This window comes from Homo sapiens, chromosome 16 (genome assembly GCF_000001405.40).
Source record: "Homo sapiens chromosome 16, GRCh38.p14 Primary Assembly".
Classification (NCBI taxonomy): Eukaryota; Metazoa; Chordata; class Mammalia; order Primates; family Hominidae; genus Homo; species Homo sapiens.
Window position 1 is genome coordinate 88,916,643 of NC_000016.10, and position 19,962 is coordinate 88,936,604.

The 19,962-nt window shown below is 60.6% G+C and overlaps 1 protein-coding gene and 1 long non-coding RNA gene across 7 annotated transcripts in view, besides 6 other annotated features; one reads left to right on the forward strand and one right to left on the reverse strand.

Annotated features, from left to right (window-relative positions):
• CBFA2T3 (CBFA2/RUNX1 partner transcriptional co-repressor 3) overlaps nucleotides 1–19,962 on the reverse strand; it is a 102,350-nt gene that overhangs the window by 41,785 nt on the left and 40,603 nt on the right. The window lies entirely within an intron of this gene.
• Nucleotides 5,058–5,137: an enhancer, noted in NCBI's record as "active region_11375". NCBI's record gives its function as "activates an Ori minimal core promoter by ATAC-STARR-seq in GM12878 lymphoblastoid cells {active_cell/tissue: GM12878}" and the evidence as "EXISTENCE:reporter gene assay evidence [ECO:0000049][PMID:35858748]".
• Nucleotides 6,343–7,250: an enhancer, noted in NCBI's record as "H3K27ac-H3K4me1 hESC enhancer chr16:88989393-88990300 (GRCh37/hg19 assembly coordinates)". NCBI's record gives its function as "activates a minimal SCP1, AML or CMV promoter by ChIP-STARR-seq in primed H9 embryonic stem cells {active_cell/tissue: H9 hESC(primed)}" and the evidence as "EXISTENCE:reporter gene assay evidence [ECO:0000049][PMID:30033119]".
• Nucleotides 7,251–8,159: an enhancer, noted in NCBI's record as "H3K27ac-H3K4me1 hESC enhancer chr16:88990301-88991209 (GRCh37/hg19 assembly coordinates)". NCBI's record gives its function as "activates a minimal SCP1, AML or CMV promoter by ChIP-STARR-seq in naive H9 embryonic stem cells {active_cell/tissue: H9 hESC(naive)}" and the evidence as "EXISTENCE:reporter gene assay evidence [ECO:0000049][PMID:30033119]".
• Nucleotides 8,160–9,067: an enhancer, noted in NCBI's record as "H3K27ac-H3K4me1 hESC enhancer chr16:88991210-88992117 (GRCh37/hg19 assembly coordinates)". NCBI's record gives its function as "activates a minimal SCP1, AML or CMV promoter by ChIP-STARR-seq in naive H9 embryonic stem cells {active_cell/tissue: H9 hESC(naive)}" and the evidence as "EXISTENCE:reporter gene assay evidence [ECO:0000049][PMID:30033119]".
• Nucleotides 8,648–14,021, forward strand: LOC105371409 (cadmium/zinc-transporting ATPase HMA2). The gene is made up of 2 exons (XR_005647007.2): nucleotides 8,648–9,379; nucleotides 10,483–14,021. It is a non-coding gene; the product is annotated as a cadmium/zinc-transporting ATPase HMA2 (long non-coding RNA).
• Nucleotides 9,977–10,883: an enhancer, noted in NCBI's record as "H3K27ac-H3K4me1 hESC enhancer chr16:88993027-88993933 (GRCh37/hg19 assembly coordinates)". NCBI's record gives its function as "activates a minimal SCP1, AML or CMV promoter by ChIP-STARR-seq in primed H9 embryonic stem cells {active_cell/tissue: H9 hESC(primed)}" and the evidence as "EXISTENCE:reporter gene assay evidence [ECO:0000049][PMID:30033119]".
• Nucleotides 19,623–19,822: an enhancer, noted in NCBI's record as "active region_11376". NCBI's record gives its function as "activates an Ori minimal core promoter by ATAC-STARR-seq in GM12878 lymphoblastoid cells {active_cell/tissue: GM12878}" and the evidence as "EXISTENCE:reporter gene assay evidence [ECO:0000049][PMID:35858748]".

The window sequence follows — 19,962 nt, forward strand, 5'->3', positions numbered from 1 at the left end:
GGTGGGCTGGGTGGGGAAGGGGGATGGGGGGCTCCTTTGCCTTCCCTCCTTGCCTCCCAGCCCTTTATTGTATGCCACATCCTTGTTTTATTTTTAAAAATGCCTCTTGGCCACTGGCACAGGCCCCTCCTTGCTACAGCCCCTGGGGGTGAAGGCGAGACTGCTAGGTGGAGTGGCCAACAGAGAGGAGGTCAGGCTGGCTGTCATATTGGTTACTAGACAGGCGTGGAGGGGCCAACAGAGGGGAGGGCAGGGTCTCGAACGTTGTATCAGTTACTAGACGGGCGCAGAAGCACGGATTCTTTTAGAAAAAGAGGGCTGCTTAGGAGGCTGAGGCAGGAGATTCGCTTGAACCAGGGAGGTGGGGGTTGTAGTGGGCTGAGATCCCACCACTGCACTCCAGCCTAGGTGACACCGTGACTCTGTCTCAAAAAAAAAAAAAAGGAAAAAAAGAAAAAAGAAAAAGGAAAAAAGAGAAGAACTGGTGGAATCTGAGATCATCGGCTGTCGGCTGACCCCAGGCCCGGGCTGCAGGAGTTAGCTGGCCCTGCCCTCTGCACAGCCACATGCCTGGACTTAGGTGTGGAGCAGAAAGTCCCACAGACAACCCCAGACACAAGCGGAGCGGAGAACCTTCCAGGAAGAGGCTGCACCTGGTTCTGAAGGCTGCGGAACTGGCACCGTGGGAGAAAGGTGCCACCGTGGGAGGGGAGGGCCTGCCCCGGGGAGGGCACAGAGGCTGGGATGCTGGGGACAGGCAGGTCACACAGCCCTGGGAACGGGACCCTCCCACGTGCAGGGCCTGCAGGGAAGGCTCAGCTGTCTGCGGAGGGTCTGGAAACCCCTGGAAACCTGAGGCCTCTGTTAGGATTTTCCACCAATGAGGCGCCAGGGGAGGCTACACCGGTTCCCAAAGTGTCGTCGCTGTTTAAAAAAATGTGTGAATTGGCTGCAAATCACCTTGAACTCTGCAGAGGGCGGCTGCCAAGTTTAAAGTCAGCCACTGCCGGTGTGGACGCTAAGGAATAATTAGGGTCTGGCGGCTCATGGTGCCCCTGCGTCAAGTCAAGAATGTTTTCCCTGAAGTGCCAGAATGTTCCCCCAGCAACCCCCAGCAGTGTCATAAGTGTGACATGTGATGTGCGCACGTATGACACACACATGCAGACGAGAGTGTGCGTGAAGACGAGAGTGTGGGTGTGGACGACAGAGTGGGTGCGGAGGAGAGCGTGGGTGCGGACGAGAGTGTGGGGTCACAATCCCCTCTGTCCCTCCGGGGTGCGTGGAGGGACCCCAGGAGACGGTGCAGGCGAAACCCACAAATCCTAGCAGCCCAGACAGGACTTTAGAGGTGGCCTCCCTGGAGTGGAGGAGTGGACAGCCTGGGCTGGCTTTGCCCTGGGGCTTCCCGCCACGTCCTGTGAGCTGGCATGGCCAGGCTGTGCAGGAAGTGGCCCCCATGGAGAGACAGCGTGGCCTCCCTGGTGCTGACTGCAGGAAGCCCCTGGGACCCCAGGACCCTGGGCCGGGGATGCCTGTGGCTTTTCTTTCTCACCCCCACCCAAATGCAAACACGCGCACAAATGGCCTTTTGCTTCTCAGTTTTTTGACACTGAGGCACCAAGCTGGGCCCTCCCTGATCCCTGCAGGCCGGGGGTGAAGGGAGGCCTGGGAGAAGACCCCACCATGGCCTGGGCCCTGTCCTCTTGCCCTGGCATCAGAAGGGGCCCTGATCCCCCTGCCTTCGCAGTGTGGGCTGTGGCTGCCCCTGGGACCAGCTGCATCACAACGAGGTCCCAGCCCACAGCCGTGGGGAGGCCTTCGCCACTCTCACCTCCTGGACAGGGTGGGGCTCCCGCCCCTCCAGAGCCCACACGGTTACTGGCACAGGCCCTGAGCTCCAAGCGTGCGGCCCACCAACCTCCTCAAAATTTGTGGCTGTTGCTGGTTTTATGTTGTGAGCCCCACACAGGAGGCTGGGTGGCCTCCAATGCCTCCAGGAGGGAGGGCTGAGCAGAGCTATGCCCAGGCCAGAGCCCCCAGCCCAGAACATTCTGTCTTCTTGCCCTAAGAACTTTTGAAATGTCCCAGAAGTTCCATGGCAGGTCACCCACATGGCCCAGCCCGGCCTCCCACGGCAGGGGGTGCCGAGAACCTTGGAGCCACACGGCCTCCAGGGTTGGTGCTGAGAGAGGTCGGAGCTGCAGGCTCGCCGGGTTATCAGTGTAAAAAAGTAGAGGTTCCCCTTCAAAGATACTTTCCTCCCCGTCTAATTAGGAATAAACAGTAACTTCTCTTAGAAGCAAAATTTATTCAAAGACCTGTGCTGACATTCTTAAATATCTGCTAGCCTTAATAAAGAAATCAATGTACTTTATGTTCTTAGCTCCCACAATTTAGCCTAAGTATCTGCCCTGGCATGTTTATACTGGTCGAAGCAAGCATTAGGTCACGGCCTGTTCCTCTTCCTTATTTGAAGGTGTTTTTACCTTTCTCAGCATTCCACAAATTACTTCCTCCTTCCTTTGTTCTCCTCTGCCTTTGCCTCTTTTAAAAAGTTCTAAGTTGCGAGCCAATCGGGACAAATACAGAATGTGAGGTCCCGTTCCAGCCAATGGAAACCGGACACAGCAGTAGGTATAAAAAAACCGGACACAGCGTCAGGTTATAAATGACCCTGGTCTCCTTCATTCGGTGTACTCTCGTGGCAAAACTGCTGGCGAGTGTACCCTTTCTGCAGAAAGTAAATATGGCCTTGCTGAGAGAATTAAATTTACGTTCAAGTGCTATTTCTTTGCAGCACCAGGGAACAAGCACTCTATTTCTAAATAAACATTCCTAACATCAGCGTGGCCTCAGGCGCTGTCCCTACCGCCCGGTATTCACTCAGCCTTACGGGTAAGAAGCTCAGTGCCCATGGCCATGATCACAAGGGCAAAACCCACTCCTCGAATTCTCCAAACTGCACGCATGGTGCAGGGCAAGCGCGGGTGTTCCCTCCCACCCAGAGCAGCCTCTCCGCGGAGTCCCCGGGCGGGACCCCAGTTACTTCTGAGCACGTGCAGTCTGGTGCATGTTTACTCTAAAAAGAAAGACAAGGATGGTGCCTACAAGAGGAACTGTTGGAAAGTCAGTGTCGCTCCACGTAATCCGTGGACACTGTTTCAATGCAGGTCTGGAGGCCGCATCAGACCCCGCCCCACACTGCAACTCCTGGGCCTCGGTTCCTTCATCTGCACAAAGGGGCCAATGATAGCGTCTCCCTGGAGAGTTACCTTGGGAAGCAGCATGAGAATTGATGAGAATTAAAGCGATTTACAAGTGCAGGCATACAGCAAGTGCTCAATTAGTGCCAGTCTGTAAACCAGCAGCTTCCCGAGCACTCTGCTCAAGGATTCAACCCGCTCCCTGGGGTGGGCGTTCCTGCCTCCCTCCTTCCCCAGATAGTGAAAGGGTCAGGCGGTGTGCGCCCGAGGCCTGCCGTCCTCCCACACCAGGGACTCGCAAGTCAGCTGACCAGTGAAGCTTGTGCAACGGTGGAATGTTCTAGGCCCATGCACTGACAGTCGCTGGAGCCCCAACTGGCTGCCAAGTACTTGAAAGGAAGCCCTATGAGGGGAGAACTGAATTTTACATTTTATCTTCTTTTTTTGAGATGGAGTCTCGCTCTGTCACCCAGGCTGAAGTGCAGAGGCATGATCTCGCCTCACTGCAACCTCTGCCTCTCAGGTTCAAGTGATTCTTGTGCCTCAGCCTCCCGAGTAGCTGAGGTTACAGGTGCCCACCACCATACCCGGCCAATTTTTTTTTTTTTTTTTTTTAAATAGAGACTGGGTTTCACCATGTTGGCCAGGCTGGTCTCGAACTCCTGACCTCAAGTGATCCGCCCACCTCGGCTTCTCAAAGTGCTGGGATTACAGGCGGAAGCCACCACCCCTGGCCAGGAATATTTCATCTTAATTAATTCAAACTCCAACGGCCACAGGTGGTGCATGGTGACGGAGTGGCAGGAGGCCCCACCACGCAATGCCAAAGGCACCAAAAGTGCAGGTGGACAAGGGCGGCCTCTGCCTCCCCGTGGGGCAGCCACACCTGCCTGCTCCTGGATTCTGCCAGGAGGACTGGGTCCCCAGCCCCTCCCTGCCCTGCCTGCTTGCCAGCCCCAGCTGGGTGGTCTTCCTCCAGCCAGGCCCACCTGAGGCTGCCTCCCGCCCTCCTGGAGGCCAAGCCCCTCGCCAGGGGGCTACATTAAACAGCAGGGCCAAACTCACTGGGGAGGCATCTTGGAGAGCAGCGGGACGGGTGTCTCCACAACCTGGAACAACACATCCTTTCTCTGAGTTTAAAGAAAACAGGCTGCTCTGGAGGCAAACCTTTTAAACAGATGTTTCCTCTTGGCGGAACCTCCCTGCTCCGCCCCCACCCTGGGCCTTCCCCCAGGCAAGGCCTGCCCGGCTCTCACAGGGCGGAGGCCTGGGGCAAGGGAGACCAAGTGATTTCAATTCTTTCTAGGAAAGGGGAGGAAAATATTTTTAAAAATGTGTTTTACAAGCCTGCCTCTGCCATTGTTGATGTAAACAGGTAAATTGTTTCCTGCCTCAATTAAAAACATCTGCCACATAAATGAATACCAATTAACTCATCCTGTTTTTAATTACTCTGTTAATTACACGCAGGCAGCAGAAAGGATGGGCGGGGGGAGCAGGGAAGCCGAGCCGATCCTCCGTGCCACGCCGCCCCACCCCAGCTTGGCAGGATCGGAAATGTGTCTGGCTGGTGACGGATGGGGTGGCAGGGAGGTGGTGGCACGTGGCCAGCCGGGATTTCCCGATCCAGGGCGGCGAGTGGGCCCCTCTTCCCGGGATCTCCCTGGGTGGGGTCCAGCCCCTGCCCCTCTCCTGCCCTCCCTCTCTGTCTGCAGCCCCCTGCTCACTTCTTGGGCCACATTTTGCTGGGGGAGGGAGGGGGGGCGGTTGGGGGGAGGCCTGGATTTTGTCCAGGAAGTTCTGCCTTAAGGCTGGGGTGGTAGGAGGATAAGAGTCACCCTAAACAGGACCCCTGGGAATTAGGATCCTGTCAGCTGCCATTTCCTGAGCCGTACATCCGCGGTGCCGGGGGACTTGCGGCTGCAGCTCCCTCATTTGAAGTTGCTTCCTCGGCGGCACCTGGGACGCCCCCCATATGCGCCATAGCCTTCGTGGTAATGACACAGTTTCTCGTTCGCTTGCTTCATTAAATGTCTACCTGGGGAATGGGGACGCCTCACCCCGTCTCACCCAGACCTCTCTGCGCGGCGCATTTTGACTCCCAGTTCACACGTGTCAAAGCTGAGGCCCACACAAGCAACTGCCTGTCCAGGGTTAAATCACTGGGACAGGCCAGGGTGAGCCGTGAGCCCAGGGCTCTGATTTCAGGGCTGGTGTCGATGCCACCAAACGTGTCGTGGCCAGGACATCCCGGGAGCTGGGTTCAATGGCTGAGGCTGGCCTGCGCCACACTTTGGGTGGGGGTACTTCCGGTCTAAGGGCATCTGAGGGTCTTCACCCAAGAGGGTACCCCATGCCTCCCTGGAAAACAGCCCCCACAGAAACTGTTCTCACCCTAGGTTTCTGCAGTCTAAGGATGCGGAGATGGCCAGACCTGGCTGGGCTCTCAGAGCCGGTCTAGCCAGAGTAAAAGTCCTGTCCAGCAGCAGGGCCTAGGATCCTCCCCGGGAAGACTGCTGCTGCCTTAGCAGGATTGAGGGGGCCGAGGGCTTCGGTGCACTCACCATGTCTGCCCCGGGCACCAGCGTGGGCGCAGTGGGAAGGGGCTGTATGGGCCTGGAGCATTAGATCCTGTCTGCCCTTTGCAGCACAGAGGAGGCAGGACCTGAGTCCCAGGGCCTGGCCATGCTGATGCCCGGGGCAGACATTCTGCAAGCAGTCTGCCTCTCCTATCCCACGCCAGGGCTATGCTTGAGGCCTTCCCGAGGGCGGGGTCAAGAATGCACCAATGCCCGGGACAGCAGCCAACCCACGCCTGTTCCTGGGCAAATCCCGCCTACAGGCCGGGTCCCAGCTTGCAGCCGTCGGAGGGTGGTGGACGGCCCCTTCCTGGAATCCCATCCCGACCTCGGAGACGGTGACACCACTGTTCCCGTGGCACAGGCTTTGCCCCTGCGTGGTTTCACATGGCCAACAAAATACTAACTCATTTAACCTCGGCAGCACCCCCACCCAGGAGGCTGTTCTGTTATATAATCACGATGAAAACATAAACCTCTCACTCTTCCCACCGTACAGATGGGGCAGCAAAGGCCCAGAGAGGAAGGAACTGCTCAAGGTGCACAGCGGACGGACAGAGCTGGGACCCGACCAGCTCTACACGGCTCTTTACAGGCCCCCAGCGCCCTCACCTAGCGCACCCCAGCTGCCTGCTCCCACCAGGTCCCTCCAAATACCCCACGTCTCCCCAATTCGCCAAATGTGGAGGGAGAGACGCGGGGGAGTTTGTGATGTGCTGAGATGGCACAGCAGGTTGGCGAGCTGGGAGCACAGCTTTGGGGTTTGAAGTCAGCGTCCACTGGTGTGGGCGAGTCCCCTGGCCTTGCTGGGCCTCAGCGTTCTCCCTGTGAAACGGGGGGGACCCGCACCCCCTCCTCATCGCACAGAGGAGGTGAGGATTCGGCGCTTCTGCCCACTGCCCCCTGCCTGCCTCCTTTTCCAGGCAGGCCACCAGGCTGAGCTGCTAGTTGCCTTGAGGTTTCCTGAGCTGCCAGGGACTTGCACAGAGACCTCAAGCTGAGTGGGGGCCTCTCAGACCTTTGGCCACCCATGTTACCCGCCACATCCACTGCCACCAGAAGGGCTGTTTGTTTGGGGCCTTTGAGACAATTTCAGCAACAAATGCACTTCCTGCTGTGTGAGCTGGGGAGCAACTGAGCCGTGAGGGGGCAGCTGGGGAGCAGCTGGGTTGTGAAGGGGCTGCAGGCTCTGCACAGCCCAGTCCTGGCGCGCAGCACAGCTCGGGGAGGGAGGCCAAGCTGCGCATCCTCCGCAACCCGGCTCACACATGTCGCTCCTGCTGTCAGGGTGGGAAGGCTCCGACATGGAGGTCGGCTTTGGAACTCGGGCTCTGGGCTCCTGGGCTGGACACCGGCACCGTCTAGGTTGGGGAGGCTCTGGGAAAGACCAGAATGCCGAACCCACCCCCGAGGACCGTCCTCTCTCAAAGGTGGGGCCGGGGGAGGAGCCCAGTCAAAGGTGAGAGGCCAGGCTCACTGGCCAGGACTTTGGAGCATAGATCACCACAGTGCAAGGACCACGAAGACCCTGGGATCTCATGCTGAGGGTGCACAGCCCGGCAAGGGTGCACAGCGACCCAGCCATGGTTACAGCAAAGACCGCGGGTGGAGGTGGGGGCGTGGTCAGGCAAGGTCACAGCAACCCAGCCAGGGCTAAAGCAAGGAGCCAGGGTGGGAGGGCCGCGCCTGCTGGGCTAAAGCAAGGACCCCTGCGGTGGGGCGGGGCAGGTGGTGGTCATGTCTACCCTGGAGGGGCTACACCTGCTGGGCTGAGTCCCAGTGAGCCTGAGTGAAGATCTGCCCTCTCTGGGCCCCGCCTTCCTTGCTATTCCCTGGGAGCTGCAACGGCTGTGCTGACGTGGGGCACACTGCGTGCCTTCAGGACCGCTCCAGTCGCCCTGCACAAGCTCCGCCCTGGCCCTGCCTCCCTGGGGCCGCCGACCACAAGGAGGCTAGACTCTGCTGAGACAAAAGGAGAGGGACCCGGGGTCCAGGAAGGTGGGGAACGAGGCTCTCGGGGGCGATGGCTGGGATGGCCTTGGAGACGGGTCCAGCAATGGGCAGACACAGGCCAGGGGGAGAAGAGCGGGCGGAGGGCCCAGTGGTGGCTGCGGGGGCCACCAGGGCAGCTCTCGGTGCTGTGTCGTGGGGCCTCGAAGCAGCTGGAAGCAGGGAGTGGCCCCTGCAAGGCAGCACAGGACAAGCCTTGTGGCTCCCAGAGGCAGAGCCCCATGGCCGGGAGCATGAGGTCACTCTCGTCAGACAGCCTCTGCTGCCCAGATGCAGATGGTCTCACCCATTGCCCCAGCTGGCCGGACGCGGCGGGGACAGCCAGGCACTGGGGGCCAAGCAGGTGCAGGAAACCACCTGTTGAATTTAGACCCAATCAGGGGCTGTGAAGGCGAGTCCTGCCCACAGCTTCGGGCTGATGGAGGCCGCTGCCACCGCCTCCCACCTCACTGAGTGCTCTCTCCACCAAGGCCACAGAGCCACACTCCCCGCCACCACGTGTGGGTGCAGACAGTGAAAACTGAGGGACGGCCCTGAAGAAATTACAAGCCACCGGTCACCGTGGCCAAGCCCAGGGCTTGCTGTGTCTGCGAGGGGTCTCAGCTCTGCACCAGCCCAAGGGGGAAGCAGTGGAGAGAGAGGGACCCGCCCGGAATCACACAGCAACGGCCTCGTCCTGGACACCGAGCTCGCTGACCCTGGGGCAGCAGGCCATGTCCGCAGTGGGCAGAGGGCCGGGTTCCAGCCCTGCCCGGATTGGTCCTCTCCCAGCCCCCGGCCTTGGGAAGGTGCCAGGCAGGCAGATGGGCCGGGCTTGGGCACGGTGCAGCCGCAGCCGTGGTGGCAGCTGCTCGGGGGAGACCCACAAGGGGCCTGCTCTGCTGCTCCCTCCTGAGCGGTGCCTTCCGGGTACCCTGACTCATCCACCAGGCGCTCTCATGCAGCCTCCAGGAGATCTGCAGGGGGCCAGGGGGTGGTGCTGCTGAGTCAAAACAGCCCCCAGGGAATATTCTGCAGGGGAGGGAGGCCCTTCCTGTGCCAGGCAGCCAGAGACCTGCTCCGAGTGCCCTGCGCTGCTCTCATCCCAGCAGAAGGACGACTCTGAGGGTGGCAGGCGGGACAGGCAGTCACTTTGCAGTGGCAGACACAGGCTCAGAGAGGCTCCAGGCCTGCCTGAGGCCACCTGGATGACTCTGAATGCTGCTTCTCCCTCCAGGGCACCAGGGTAACCGGAGGCTTCTAGTTTCTTCAGGGGCCGTCCCTCAGCCTTCACTGTCTGCCCGACTGCCCGCCGGGAGCCCCTGCGTGTGTGGAGATGGCAATGTGCTTTCCCGGGGGCTCAGAGCTGCTCCTGCTCCCCGGCGACGGGCTTTTCCAGGCTGCGGCATAGGGAGCCCCGGTACCAAGGACATGGGTGGCACTGCGGAGTCGGTGCCATCCTCTCTACGCCAGACGCCATGTGAACGTTTTTACGATGATTTTTAAAAGAGAGGCTGAGAAGGACCAGGACCAGAAAGACACGGCTGTCCTGTCTCCCACAGGCTGCAGCCTCGAACTGGCACCATCTCTTCTGCCCCCTGGAAGGTCAGCTCCGTGAGACGGGGGAGGCCCCCGTGAATTGTGCAGGGAGCACTTGGTGGGCGCTGGGCGGTCTCACGTTCCCCACCTGTGAAAGGGGGTTAATCCCACTGTGATGGGGCCAGTGAGCGAATTCCCAGGAGGGCAGAGCAGAGCCGCAGCCGGGGGTACAACTGGCTTCTGGGGCCGGGCTGCCGCCTCCAAGAGCCTAACCTTGTTCCCAGAGGCGAGGAGTGAATCTGGGTTCCGTGCAGGGAGTTCCAGCACCTAAAAGGTGTGACAAATTCCTCCTCCAATGTCCAGCTGGACAAACCTCCTCAATCCACCACTGAAGGCCCCCCAAGCGCTCCGAGGGACCTGGCGTGCTATGGGCTGGGGGGCGTCTGTCCCAGCCTCGTCTCCAAAATGTCGGTGTCTGCTCAGCCCTGTGCTGTGGTTTTCAGGGGTCGAGGCTGAGCGACCTCTCTTTCTATCTCTCCTGCTCGGGGCCAGTCACCAGGCCGGAGTCTCAGGGCTGTGACACAGAGGTTTGTCATGCGTCACACCAGGTGGCCCTGGGTCAGCCAACGAGCTTTGTGTCAGGACAGCGTGGGTGAGCGCTGCCCCCACTGCATGGCTGCAGGGAGGCCCGAGGGCAGGATCTTCCCAAGGGACAAGCTGGCCATGGTCCCGTGCGTGCCAGGGTGGGGCCTGCTGAGCCTCAGTTTCCTCGGCTGTAAGACGGGACGGAGGTGTTCACAGTGGGGGTTGCTGGGAATTCCTCCTCTGGATTGGGCTGGTGCCTCGGTGCACCGTGGGCTCCCAGGAGCTCACAAGGCCTTCCGTGCCTGTCCCTTGTGCCCCACCTCACAGCGAGGTCCTTGCAGCAGCAGGGCAGCCCCGTCCGGCCCCCGCTGCCTCCCTGCCCTCATCTCCTTTCTCTGAGACAAGGCTCCTCACTGGTCCTGGAGGTGGCGGCACACTCCTGCCTCGGGCCTGGCACGCGTGGTCCTTCCCTCCTCCCGCAGCTAAGTTCCACGTCCCTTTACCAGAGAAGCCAGTGTCAACCCCCACGGCCCTTGGTGGGGCAACATCATCGCTGCTCCCTTCCTTCACTCTGTCTCTGCCAGACGGAGCAGCAGCCCCGGGCGTACAGCAGGCACCAATCACTATTTGTCGAGGGAATGAACGGGCACCGCCTAACGAGTTGGGTCAGATGGAGGCGTGGCTCAGAGATGTCAGCGTCAAGGCCAGGTCGACGTGACAAGCCGGGTCCCGCCCTGCCCTCGGGTGCATGGACTTCCCCAGGCAGCACTGATGCCCCCGCTGAGGTGAGGCCGCTGGGCCCCATCTGTGGGGAGAGGCAGCTGGAAACTGGGGGCCCCAGATCCTCCTCGAGCCAGATCCTGACCCCAGACCCAGCCTGTTTTCTGGGTGTCTGAATCCTGCCGGGGTGGAGGAGGGGCTGGGGAAGAGGTGGGTCCACCTGTTCTCCTCCAGGGACCTCCCTGCAACCCTTCATGAGGTCAGAGCTGGGCATCCAGGGAGACAGCGACCCTGGCCATGGGGGCCACGCCACCCAGGTACCAGCCTGGCATGCAGCCTGCAGGTGATAATCTCCGGGCTGCTCTGGGGCTAGGCTGCAGCTGTAGGGGGGTTCAGCTGTCACAGAGGGAGCCGGGGAAGCCAGCACTGCCTGGGATGATCCCCCTTCCGCCTCCTCCTCCCCAGGCCCCGGAGGCCCAGCTGGCCGTCCGCCCGTGCGGACACCCGGGAGCCAACACTGACCCGAAGACAGGTCAGCCAGACTTCCCACCTGCTCCCTCAGGAGGTGGGATCCGGTCCCCTCCTGCTGGGCTGCACGGGCCACGATGGAAAGGCGCCTCGTGACACGCTGCGGTCAGCTCAGAAAAGCCGCAGATGCTGACACGGGCAACCCTGCCCAGTGTGGGGCGTCCTCTGAAGTGGGAGCCGCAGGGAGGGCCTCACGGAGGCCTCTGTCCACAGGCAGCGGCTCCCGGCACCCACCGCTGCTGACCGAGCCCCTGGCACCCCCAAGCCGAGCCTTTGAACCCCAGCAGGGAAGGCCACCTGGCCGAGACCCTGGCCACCACGGGGCCATCACTGTCCCACGGGGCTCTGTTCCGACTCCTTGGCCCGAGGGTCTCTGAGCACCACCAGGGTTGCCTCACGCCTCTGAGTTTGGGGTGGTTTGTTCGGCAGCACTGGGGCCCGGGGCAGCTTCTTGCCCGGCGTGTGGCACAGCTGTCCTTGTTGGGGGCGTTTCTGGGATCCTGTGGTTTCGGGGACGCTCCCCTACTCCCTGGCCTTGGGGGCCGATGACCAGGTGGAGCGGGCCCGGTCTGTGAGGGAGTCACAACGCCAGGTCACTCCAAGCTGCCTCTGTGGCCACACGTCCAGCTGCCCCCACACAGGCGAGACCCATGATCAAGCCCCAGGGCTGGAAAGCAGACACAGGGGATGTATTTGTTTGTGGAATCAAATACGACGGCAGCTTGCAGGCAGCCCAGCCGCTGTGCAAACAACCCTCTTCCAGCACCCAGTGAGGGCGTCCCTGAAGCAGCCGGCGACCCCGGGCGCTGTCACCCGCCAGGTGGGGTATGGGGACCGTCCCTCAGGCAAGACAGGGTGCCTGTGTACTGAGCGCCTCGTGTGTCAGGTGCAGGTGCAGACAGGCAAAAGTCCTGCCCCACGGAGCTGACCTCGGACGGGAGCCCAGGAACACTGTGCAAACGTACGAGACCGAGGCTGGGAGGTGTGGTGGTTGGGAGAGGCACGGGTGGGTGACTGGATGGCCACTGAAAAGGTGCCATCTGAGCAAGGCCTGAAGGAGGGCAGCTGGGAGCCACGCAGGCGTCGGGGGGAGCATTCCAGGCACTGGGGCCAGCAGCGCAAAGGCCCTGAACTGCAGCCAGGCACGGTGGGCCAGCAGCAAGGCGGAGCAGAGTGGGTGGTGGAAGGGAGGGGAGTTTGTGTGGTCTTGGAGGCCCCACGAGGACCTCGGCTCCGTTCCTGGAGAGCTGTGACTGGCCTTTAATGGGTTCCATCTGGCTGCCGAGTGCAAAATAGACCTGGGATGGGGGTCAGGGGTAGAAGCAAAGAAACCAGGTACAGAATCTGGCACAAGTCACGCGGTCAGAGAGCAGGTGCTGGAGAGATCCCATAACTGTTTGTGGAATCAAACAGGACAGCAGCTTGCAGGCAGTCTGGCTGCCGCTGTGCAAACAACCCAGGGCGCCCCTGAACCAGCCCGTGACCTCAGGCAAACGGCATCCATCACCGGGGCCGGCACACCATCGCCTGTGAGAGGCGTGGTGAGGGCTGCTCCCACGGGCCTGCGGGAGGACCCGGTGACAGCAAGGCCAAGCCCCCTGCCCACCAGGACAGTGGCTTTTCTTGATAATTTATCCCTTGAAACCCCGTGGACAATTAAACCCAGAGTTACCAGGTGAGCCAGGGATTCTACTCCTAGGAATCCAACCAAGAGAAATGAAGACATTCATCCACACAAAAGCTACCGATACCCACAGCTGCATGGTCCACGCAAAAGCTACCAATACCCACATCTGCATCACCCACGCAAAAGTCACCAATACCCACATCTGCATCATCCACGCAAAAACTACCAATACCCACAGCTGCGTGGTCCACGCAAAAACTACCAATACCCACAGCTGCGTGGTCCACGCAAAAACTACCAATACCCACAGCTGCGTGGTCCACGCAAAAGCTACCAATACCCACAGCTGCATGGTCCACGCAAAAGCTACCAATACCCACAGCTGCATGGTCCACACAAAAGCTACCAATACCCACAGCTGCATCATCCACGCAAAAGCTACCCATGCCCACAGCTGCATCATCCACGCAAAAGTCACCAATACCCACAGCTGCATCGTCCACGCAAAAGCTACCAATACCCACAGCTGCATGGTCCACGTAAAAGCTACCAATACCCAGAGCCGCATGGTCCACGCAAAAGCTACCAATACCCACAGCTGCATCATCCACGCAAAAGTCACCAATACCCACAGCTGCATCGTCCACGCAAAAGCTACCAATACCCACAGCTGCATGGTCCACGTAAAAGCTACCAATACCCAGAGCTGCATGGTCCACGTAAAAGCTACCAATACCCACAGCTGCATGGTCCACGCAAAAGCTACCAATACCCACAGCTGCATCATCCACGCAAAAGTCACCAATACCCACAGCTGCATCGTCCACGCAAAAGCTACCCATGCCCACAGCTGCGTGGTCCACGCAAAAGCTACCAATACCCACAGCTGCATGGTCCACGCAAAAGCTACCAATACCCACAGCTGCATCGTCCACGCAAAAGCTACCCATGCCCACAGCTGCATCGTCCACGCAAAAGCTACCCATGCCCACAGCTGCATGGTCCACCATAACAACAATGGGGGCAACAACCCACGCGTCCATCAACGGACACACAAAACGTGGTCTTTCTGCACAGTGCAGTGCAGCTCAGCCACAGGGAAGGAGGCTCCCCACTAGGCTCCAGTGCGGGGAGCCACGAAGGCCCCGAGCTGACAAAGCCAGACACAAGGGCCACACGTGGCCCCGTCACCTTCATCCGCGGTGTCCAGAACAGGCAAGTTCACAGAGATGCAGGAGCGGGGGCAGACTGAGGGCTGGGGGTGGAGGAGCGAGGAGATGGGGAGGGGGCAGACTGGGGGCTGGGGGTGGAGGAGCGAGGAGATGGGGGAGGGGGCAGACTGGGGGCTGGGGGTGGAGGAGCGAGGAGATGGGGGAGGGGGCAGACTGGGGGCTGGGGTGGAGGAGTGAGGAGATGGGGAGGGGCAGACTGTGGGCTGGGGGTGGAGGAGTGAGTGGCAGTGGGAGTGGGGTTTCCTTTCCGGGTGATGAGCACGTGTGGGAGCGAGCTGGCGGGGGGCGTGGCGTTGCATTGTGAGTGCACTAAGTGCTACTGAAGTGACACTATAACTCCACGATGCTTAAAATGATAAACGTTATGTGTATTTTCCCACAATTAAAAAAACAGCGGGGAGACTGAGACAGGCAGCTCATGACCTATTAACCTGCCCCTGCCAGGGACCCATCCACGTTGCTAACAGCCCAGGAGTGATGAGTGGAGCCAGGCTGCCTCTTCCCTGAGTTTGGGCACCTTAAATGTGAGAGGGGCTCAGCCTCCCTCCCAGGGGCCCTGCTCCTGTCAACTGGGGCCAACTTGCAGGCAGGTAGCGGAGGCACTGCTGTGACTCCAGCCCTGGCTCTGTGAGCCTGGCTGTGCTGGAAACCAGGAGGGTGGAGGCCAGGCCCAGAAGGCTGCTGGCTGGAGTGAGTGGGAGCTGAGCGACCTTCTTGCTGCAAACAACCCCCTTCCAGAGACACAAGCACACCCTTAAGGGTGGGAAGCGCTCACAAGGACCGGTCTGTGGCAAGTGACAAGTGACCTTTCCAACCCGAAGGTCTCCTCGGCAGAAGCCCCTTCATGTGCCAAGGACGAGCCAGAGGTGGAGAAGGGCCGTGGGCCGGCCCCGTGGACGAGCCAGAGGTGGAGAAGGGCCGTGGGCCGGCCCCGTGGATGAGCCAGAGGTGGAGAAGGGCCGTGGGCCGGCCCCGTGGACGAGCCAGAGGTGGAGAAGGGCCGTGGGCTGGCCCCATGGTGCAGAGTGAGCAGGTGCTGGGGGCACTGGCCTGCAGCTCAGGCCTCTGCTTGTCCCTCTGGTCACCCCAGTCCTGGGGCAGCATGGTCCCTGGGTCTGGGCAGGTTTGGTTGGATGCAGGTGCTGTGGTCCCCAGTGAGCCCTGGTGTCACGGCTCACGCTTTATAAAAGCTCTCAAGGGGTCACAGTGCAGAGGGGATGGGGAGGAGGGTTTGGGGAGGGTAAGCACTTCGCCGGGGCACTTATCATTTGTGGAACATTCTCTGAGGCTGGCTGTGGGGATCCCCTGTGAGTCTGGACAGCCAGGTCATAGGTCATGCTTCCTCCTGGCCCGGTTTTCACACCGTGGTACCCCACACGCATGCACACGTGTGCACACCATCACACACTCAGACTTTACACACATGCACCTGCACGTGCGCCCCTGGCAACGGCACCCGACGCAGTGACCTTGGGGCTGCTGTCGTCGGGAAGACAGCCTGCCAGGTGGCCCCTCACACGGCCCCTGCTTCCCCCTCACACGGCCCCCGCTTCCCCCTCACACGGCCCCCGCTTCCCCCTCACATGGCCCCCGCTTCCCCCTCACACGGCCCCCACTTCCCCATCCCGGAAAACAGGCAGAGCACACACTTCCAGGAAAGAGGCCGCCCTGGCGCTGGACTCAATGACCATAAAACAGCCTCTTAAGCTGGGTGCAGCGGCTCACGCCTACAATCCCAGCACTTTGGGAGGCTGAGGTGGGAGGATCGTTTGAGCCCAGGAGCTTGAGACAGCCTGGGCGATGTAGCAAGACCCCATCTCTACCAAAAAAATTAAAAATTAAAAAAACAATTAGCTGGGCATAGTGGTGAACACCCATAGTCCCAGCTACTCTGTAGGCTGAAGGGGGAGGATCGCTTGAGCCTAGGAGGTTAAGGCAGCAGTGAGCCATGATCGCACCACTGCATTCCAGCCTGAGCGATAGAGGGAGACCCCGACTATAAGTAAAGGGAAAAAAGAGGCAGGGCGCGGTGGTTCACGCCTGTCATCCCAGCACTTTGGGAGGCTGAGGCAGGTGGATCACCTGAGGTCAGGAGTTCGAGACCAGCCTGGCCAACATGGCAAACCCGTCTCTACTAAAAATACAAAAAAAAAAAAAAAAAAAAAAAAAAAAAAAGCCGGGTGCAGTGGTGTGTGGCTGTAATCCCAGCTACTCAGGAGGCTGACGCAGGAGAATCACTTGAACCCGGGAAGCAGAGGTTGCTGTGAGCTGAGATTGCGCCACTGCACTCCAGCCTGGGCGACAGAGTGAGATTGTGTCTGGGGGAAAAAAAGAAAGAAAGAAAAGAAAAATGGCCTCTTGGGCCAGGTCCTGGGAGCTCGAGGGAGGTGACGGCATGGAGCCAGGACCCGGAGACGTCACTTCTGATGGAAGTCCGCACGCCCAGAGACAGGCCAGGCCCTCAGTGTGCAAGTCACCAGCCTTCTCTCCTTTCCAGACAGGCTTTGCCCTGTGGCCCCGGCCCTGCCTGGTGCACCTCCCGTTTGCCTCACTGGTCAACTCCTGGGGGCTGTTTTGCGCTCCCCCAGTGCAGGGTCCCAGACTGCACGCCTCACAGTGCCACACGTCTGCACGCCTCTGCACACGTCACGTGCCTCTATACGCCTCACACGCCTCACAGTGCCACACGTCTGCACGCCTCTGCACACGTCACGTGCCTCTATACGCCTCACACGCCTCACAGTGCCACACGTCTGCACGCCTCTGCACACGTCACGTGCCTCTATACGCCTCACACGCCTCACAGTGCCACACGTCTGCACGCCTCTGCACACGTCACGTGCCTCTATACGCCTCACACGCCTCACAGTGCCACACGTCTGCACGCCTCTGCACACGTCACGTGCCTCTATACGCCTCACACGCCTCACAGTGCCACACGTCTGCACGCCTCTGCACACGTCACGTGCCTCTATACGCCTCACACGCCTCACAGTGCCACACGTCTGCACGCCTCTGCACACGTCACGTGCCTCTATACGCCTCACACGCCTCACAGTGCCACACGTCTGCACGCCTCTGCACACGTCACGTGCCTCTATACGCCTCACACGCCTCACAGTGCCACACGTCTGCGTCCCCACAGCCATAGTGGCCACTTCATGCCACGCGTATGTGACTTGGTGAAATCCCCGTCCCTCTGCTCTGTGCAGTACAGCAGCCGCAAGCACAAGACCGGCACGAGGAGGACAGAGGCGAGACCCCAGTGAGCCAAGCTGCACGCTGCCCCCGGGAGAGCTGAAAAAAAAATACCTCAGTCGCTTAAAAATCAGTGCATGTCGAAAATAATGAGTTTTGGACACACTGGGTTAAGTAAGATTATATATTATAAACATTAATTTTGCCCGGTCTCTTCTTCCCTTTTTCAACGTGGCCACGAGACAGTCTGAAATGATCCACGCCCCTTCCCTGGCATGCCGAAGCTCCCTTGGGAGAGGCCGCCCCTCGGCACACGGAGGCACCGGCGAGAAGGGCTGCCCCACGCCCCTCGGCACACGGAGGCACCGGCGAGAAGGGCTGCCCCATGCCCCTCGGCACATGGAGGCACGGGCGAGAAGGGCTGCCCCACAGTGGCTGCTCAGGTCACAGGAGGGGCCGACTTGGGCCCATAGGGGAGGCTCCATGCACGTTCCCGAACACTCTGCTCCCAGGTCCCCTGTTGGATGCTTTGGGCTTCTGGGCATGAAAAGTGCTGGACCCTGAAGGAGCAGCTCGGCCGCAGAGGCACGGTGGGGACACAGCAGCCAGCAGGGCCACACAGAGAGGGTCTCAGCCACACACCTGGCCGGCACGGCCGGCACCATCGGGGGGCGACAGGCGAGGCTCCATCTTCCCTGTGCACAGTGTGTGGTGCTGACCAACCCCCGCAAGGGACAGATGGGGACACGGAGGCCCAGAGGAGCGGAGAGGAGTCTGGCCTCGCTGCCTGCCTATTCTTGCTGTTGGCAGGGCCTGGTAAAGGAGGCAGAGATGCCACGAAAGAGGCACGAAGGGCCGTGCCCTGCCCTCTTCCACCCCCGAAGTTCAGAAGGACGCATTCTTTTTTTCTCGGAGACGGAGTCTCGCTCTGTCGCCCAGGCTGGAGTGCAGTGGCGCGATCTCGGCTCACTGCAAGCTCTGCCTCCCGGGTTCACGCTATTCTCCTGCCTCAGCCTCCCCAGTAGCTGGGACTACAGGCGCCCGCCACCACGCCCGGCTAATTTTTTGTATTTTTTAGTAGAGACGGGGTTTCACCGTGTTAGCCAGGATGGTCTCGATCTCCTGACCTCGTGATCCACCCGCCTTGGCCTCCCAAAGTGCTGGGATTACAGGCGTAAGCCACCGTGCCTGGCCAGAAGGACGCATTCTTTAAGGGAGCTGAAGGCCACGTGGTGGAGCTGCAAGCCTCCATCAGGCACAGGGATACGTGGAGTCCAGCACCCAAGGCCCCTGTTCTGTCCACTTGGGCACAGCCACGGCCCAGAGACCCAACGCTGCCCCCGGTCAGGGGCAGTCCTGGGTTCTGATGTCTCTGGCGCAGGAGAGGCTGCATGGAAGGGCCCCATGTCCACTGCGCTCTGAGTACAGGCTGGGCTGGACTAGGCTGTGGAGCCCTGGTGTGGTGGCCAAGGCAAGGGGAGGGGCCCGGCAATCCCCAGGCCTGGTGAGAGCCCCCCACCACCTGCGTGGGGACCCTGGTGGTGCAGAAATACCTAGGCTCTGGAGGGCCCAAGTCAGGTGGCCTCGGCTCCCAAGTGGGAATTCTGCCTCTGACAGGGAGTAACTAGAGTACAACTGATCTTACCCTCAGTTTCCCCTCTGTAAATGGGTCTGCAGGTGGCGTGGTGCACCCGGGGGCCCAGGGCTTGGCCCCAAGCTTGCAGGCTGTCCTCGCGTGGGTGGAGCAGGCACAGGGCCTGGGGTCTGGGCTGTGCCAGAGTCTGACCATCGAGGTGGTCTCTCTGGACCACCCCATTTTGCAAAGGTGCAGACAATGAACTTCTGTTCGGGGGCCTGCAGAGAAGGGGGCCTGGGTGCAGAGCTGCATCATGCCGCATCCACCACTGAGCCTCAGGACACCACCGGGTGTCCCCCCAGAAAAGGGACGAGGCTGATGGTCCCAGTCCAGACACACACATCCCAGCTCATCACAGCCCGAAGGGGTAAATGCCTTTGTGACTGCATTTTGCGTTTGAGACCCGAGGGACAGATGGGAATATGTGGTGTAGGTCACGCAGCTGCTGGGAGGGGAGTCGAATCCAGGTGGGGGCTCCAAGAAACCGAGGGGCTGCCCATCCCCCTCCCCGCTGCCTCCGGGAACAGGGCAGGGGGCTGCAGTCACCCCTGGCCCTCGTGGGGAGCCCCTCCCCACCTGTAAGAGGGTCTCACTGCAGCTGGAGCTGCTTCCCCTGCTGGCTTGATGGCACCCTGGCTTTCCCGGGTACTCAGGGAGGTCGGGTACACTGGGCGGGGACTTCCTCATGAGTTCCATGTGTGACCTGGGGCCACCAGGGTGCGCAGGAGCCCTCCTGACTGCCCCGGGCATTTCCTGGGCGTCTCCCAGGTATCTCCCATCCTGGTCTCCGGCAGGTCCCACCTGCTGCCTCCCCGGTGTGGACTTTCCTCTGCTGAGTAAACAGAAGACTGCCCCGGTGCCTGGACTTCCTCCCCAAACCTCCTCCTGCCACGTCCACCATGACCCCAGCCTCAGGGGCAGCCAAGCATCCACCACGACCCCAGCCTCAGGGGCAGCCGAGTATCCACCACGACCCCAGCCTCAGGGGCAGCCGAGTATCCACCACGACCCCAGCCTCAGGGGCAGCCGAGTATCCACCACGACCTCAGCCTCAGGGGCAGCCGAGGAGGCTCTGAGCTGCCCAGACCCGACGGGGCAGAACCGGCCCTGGGTGGCTAAGCGG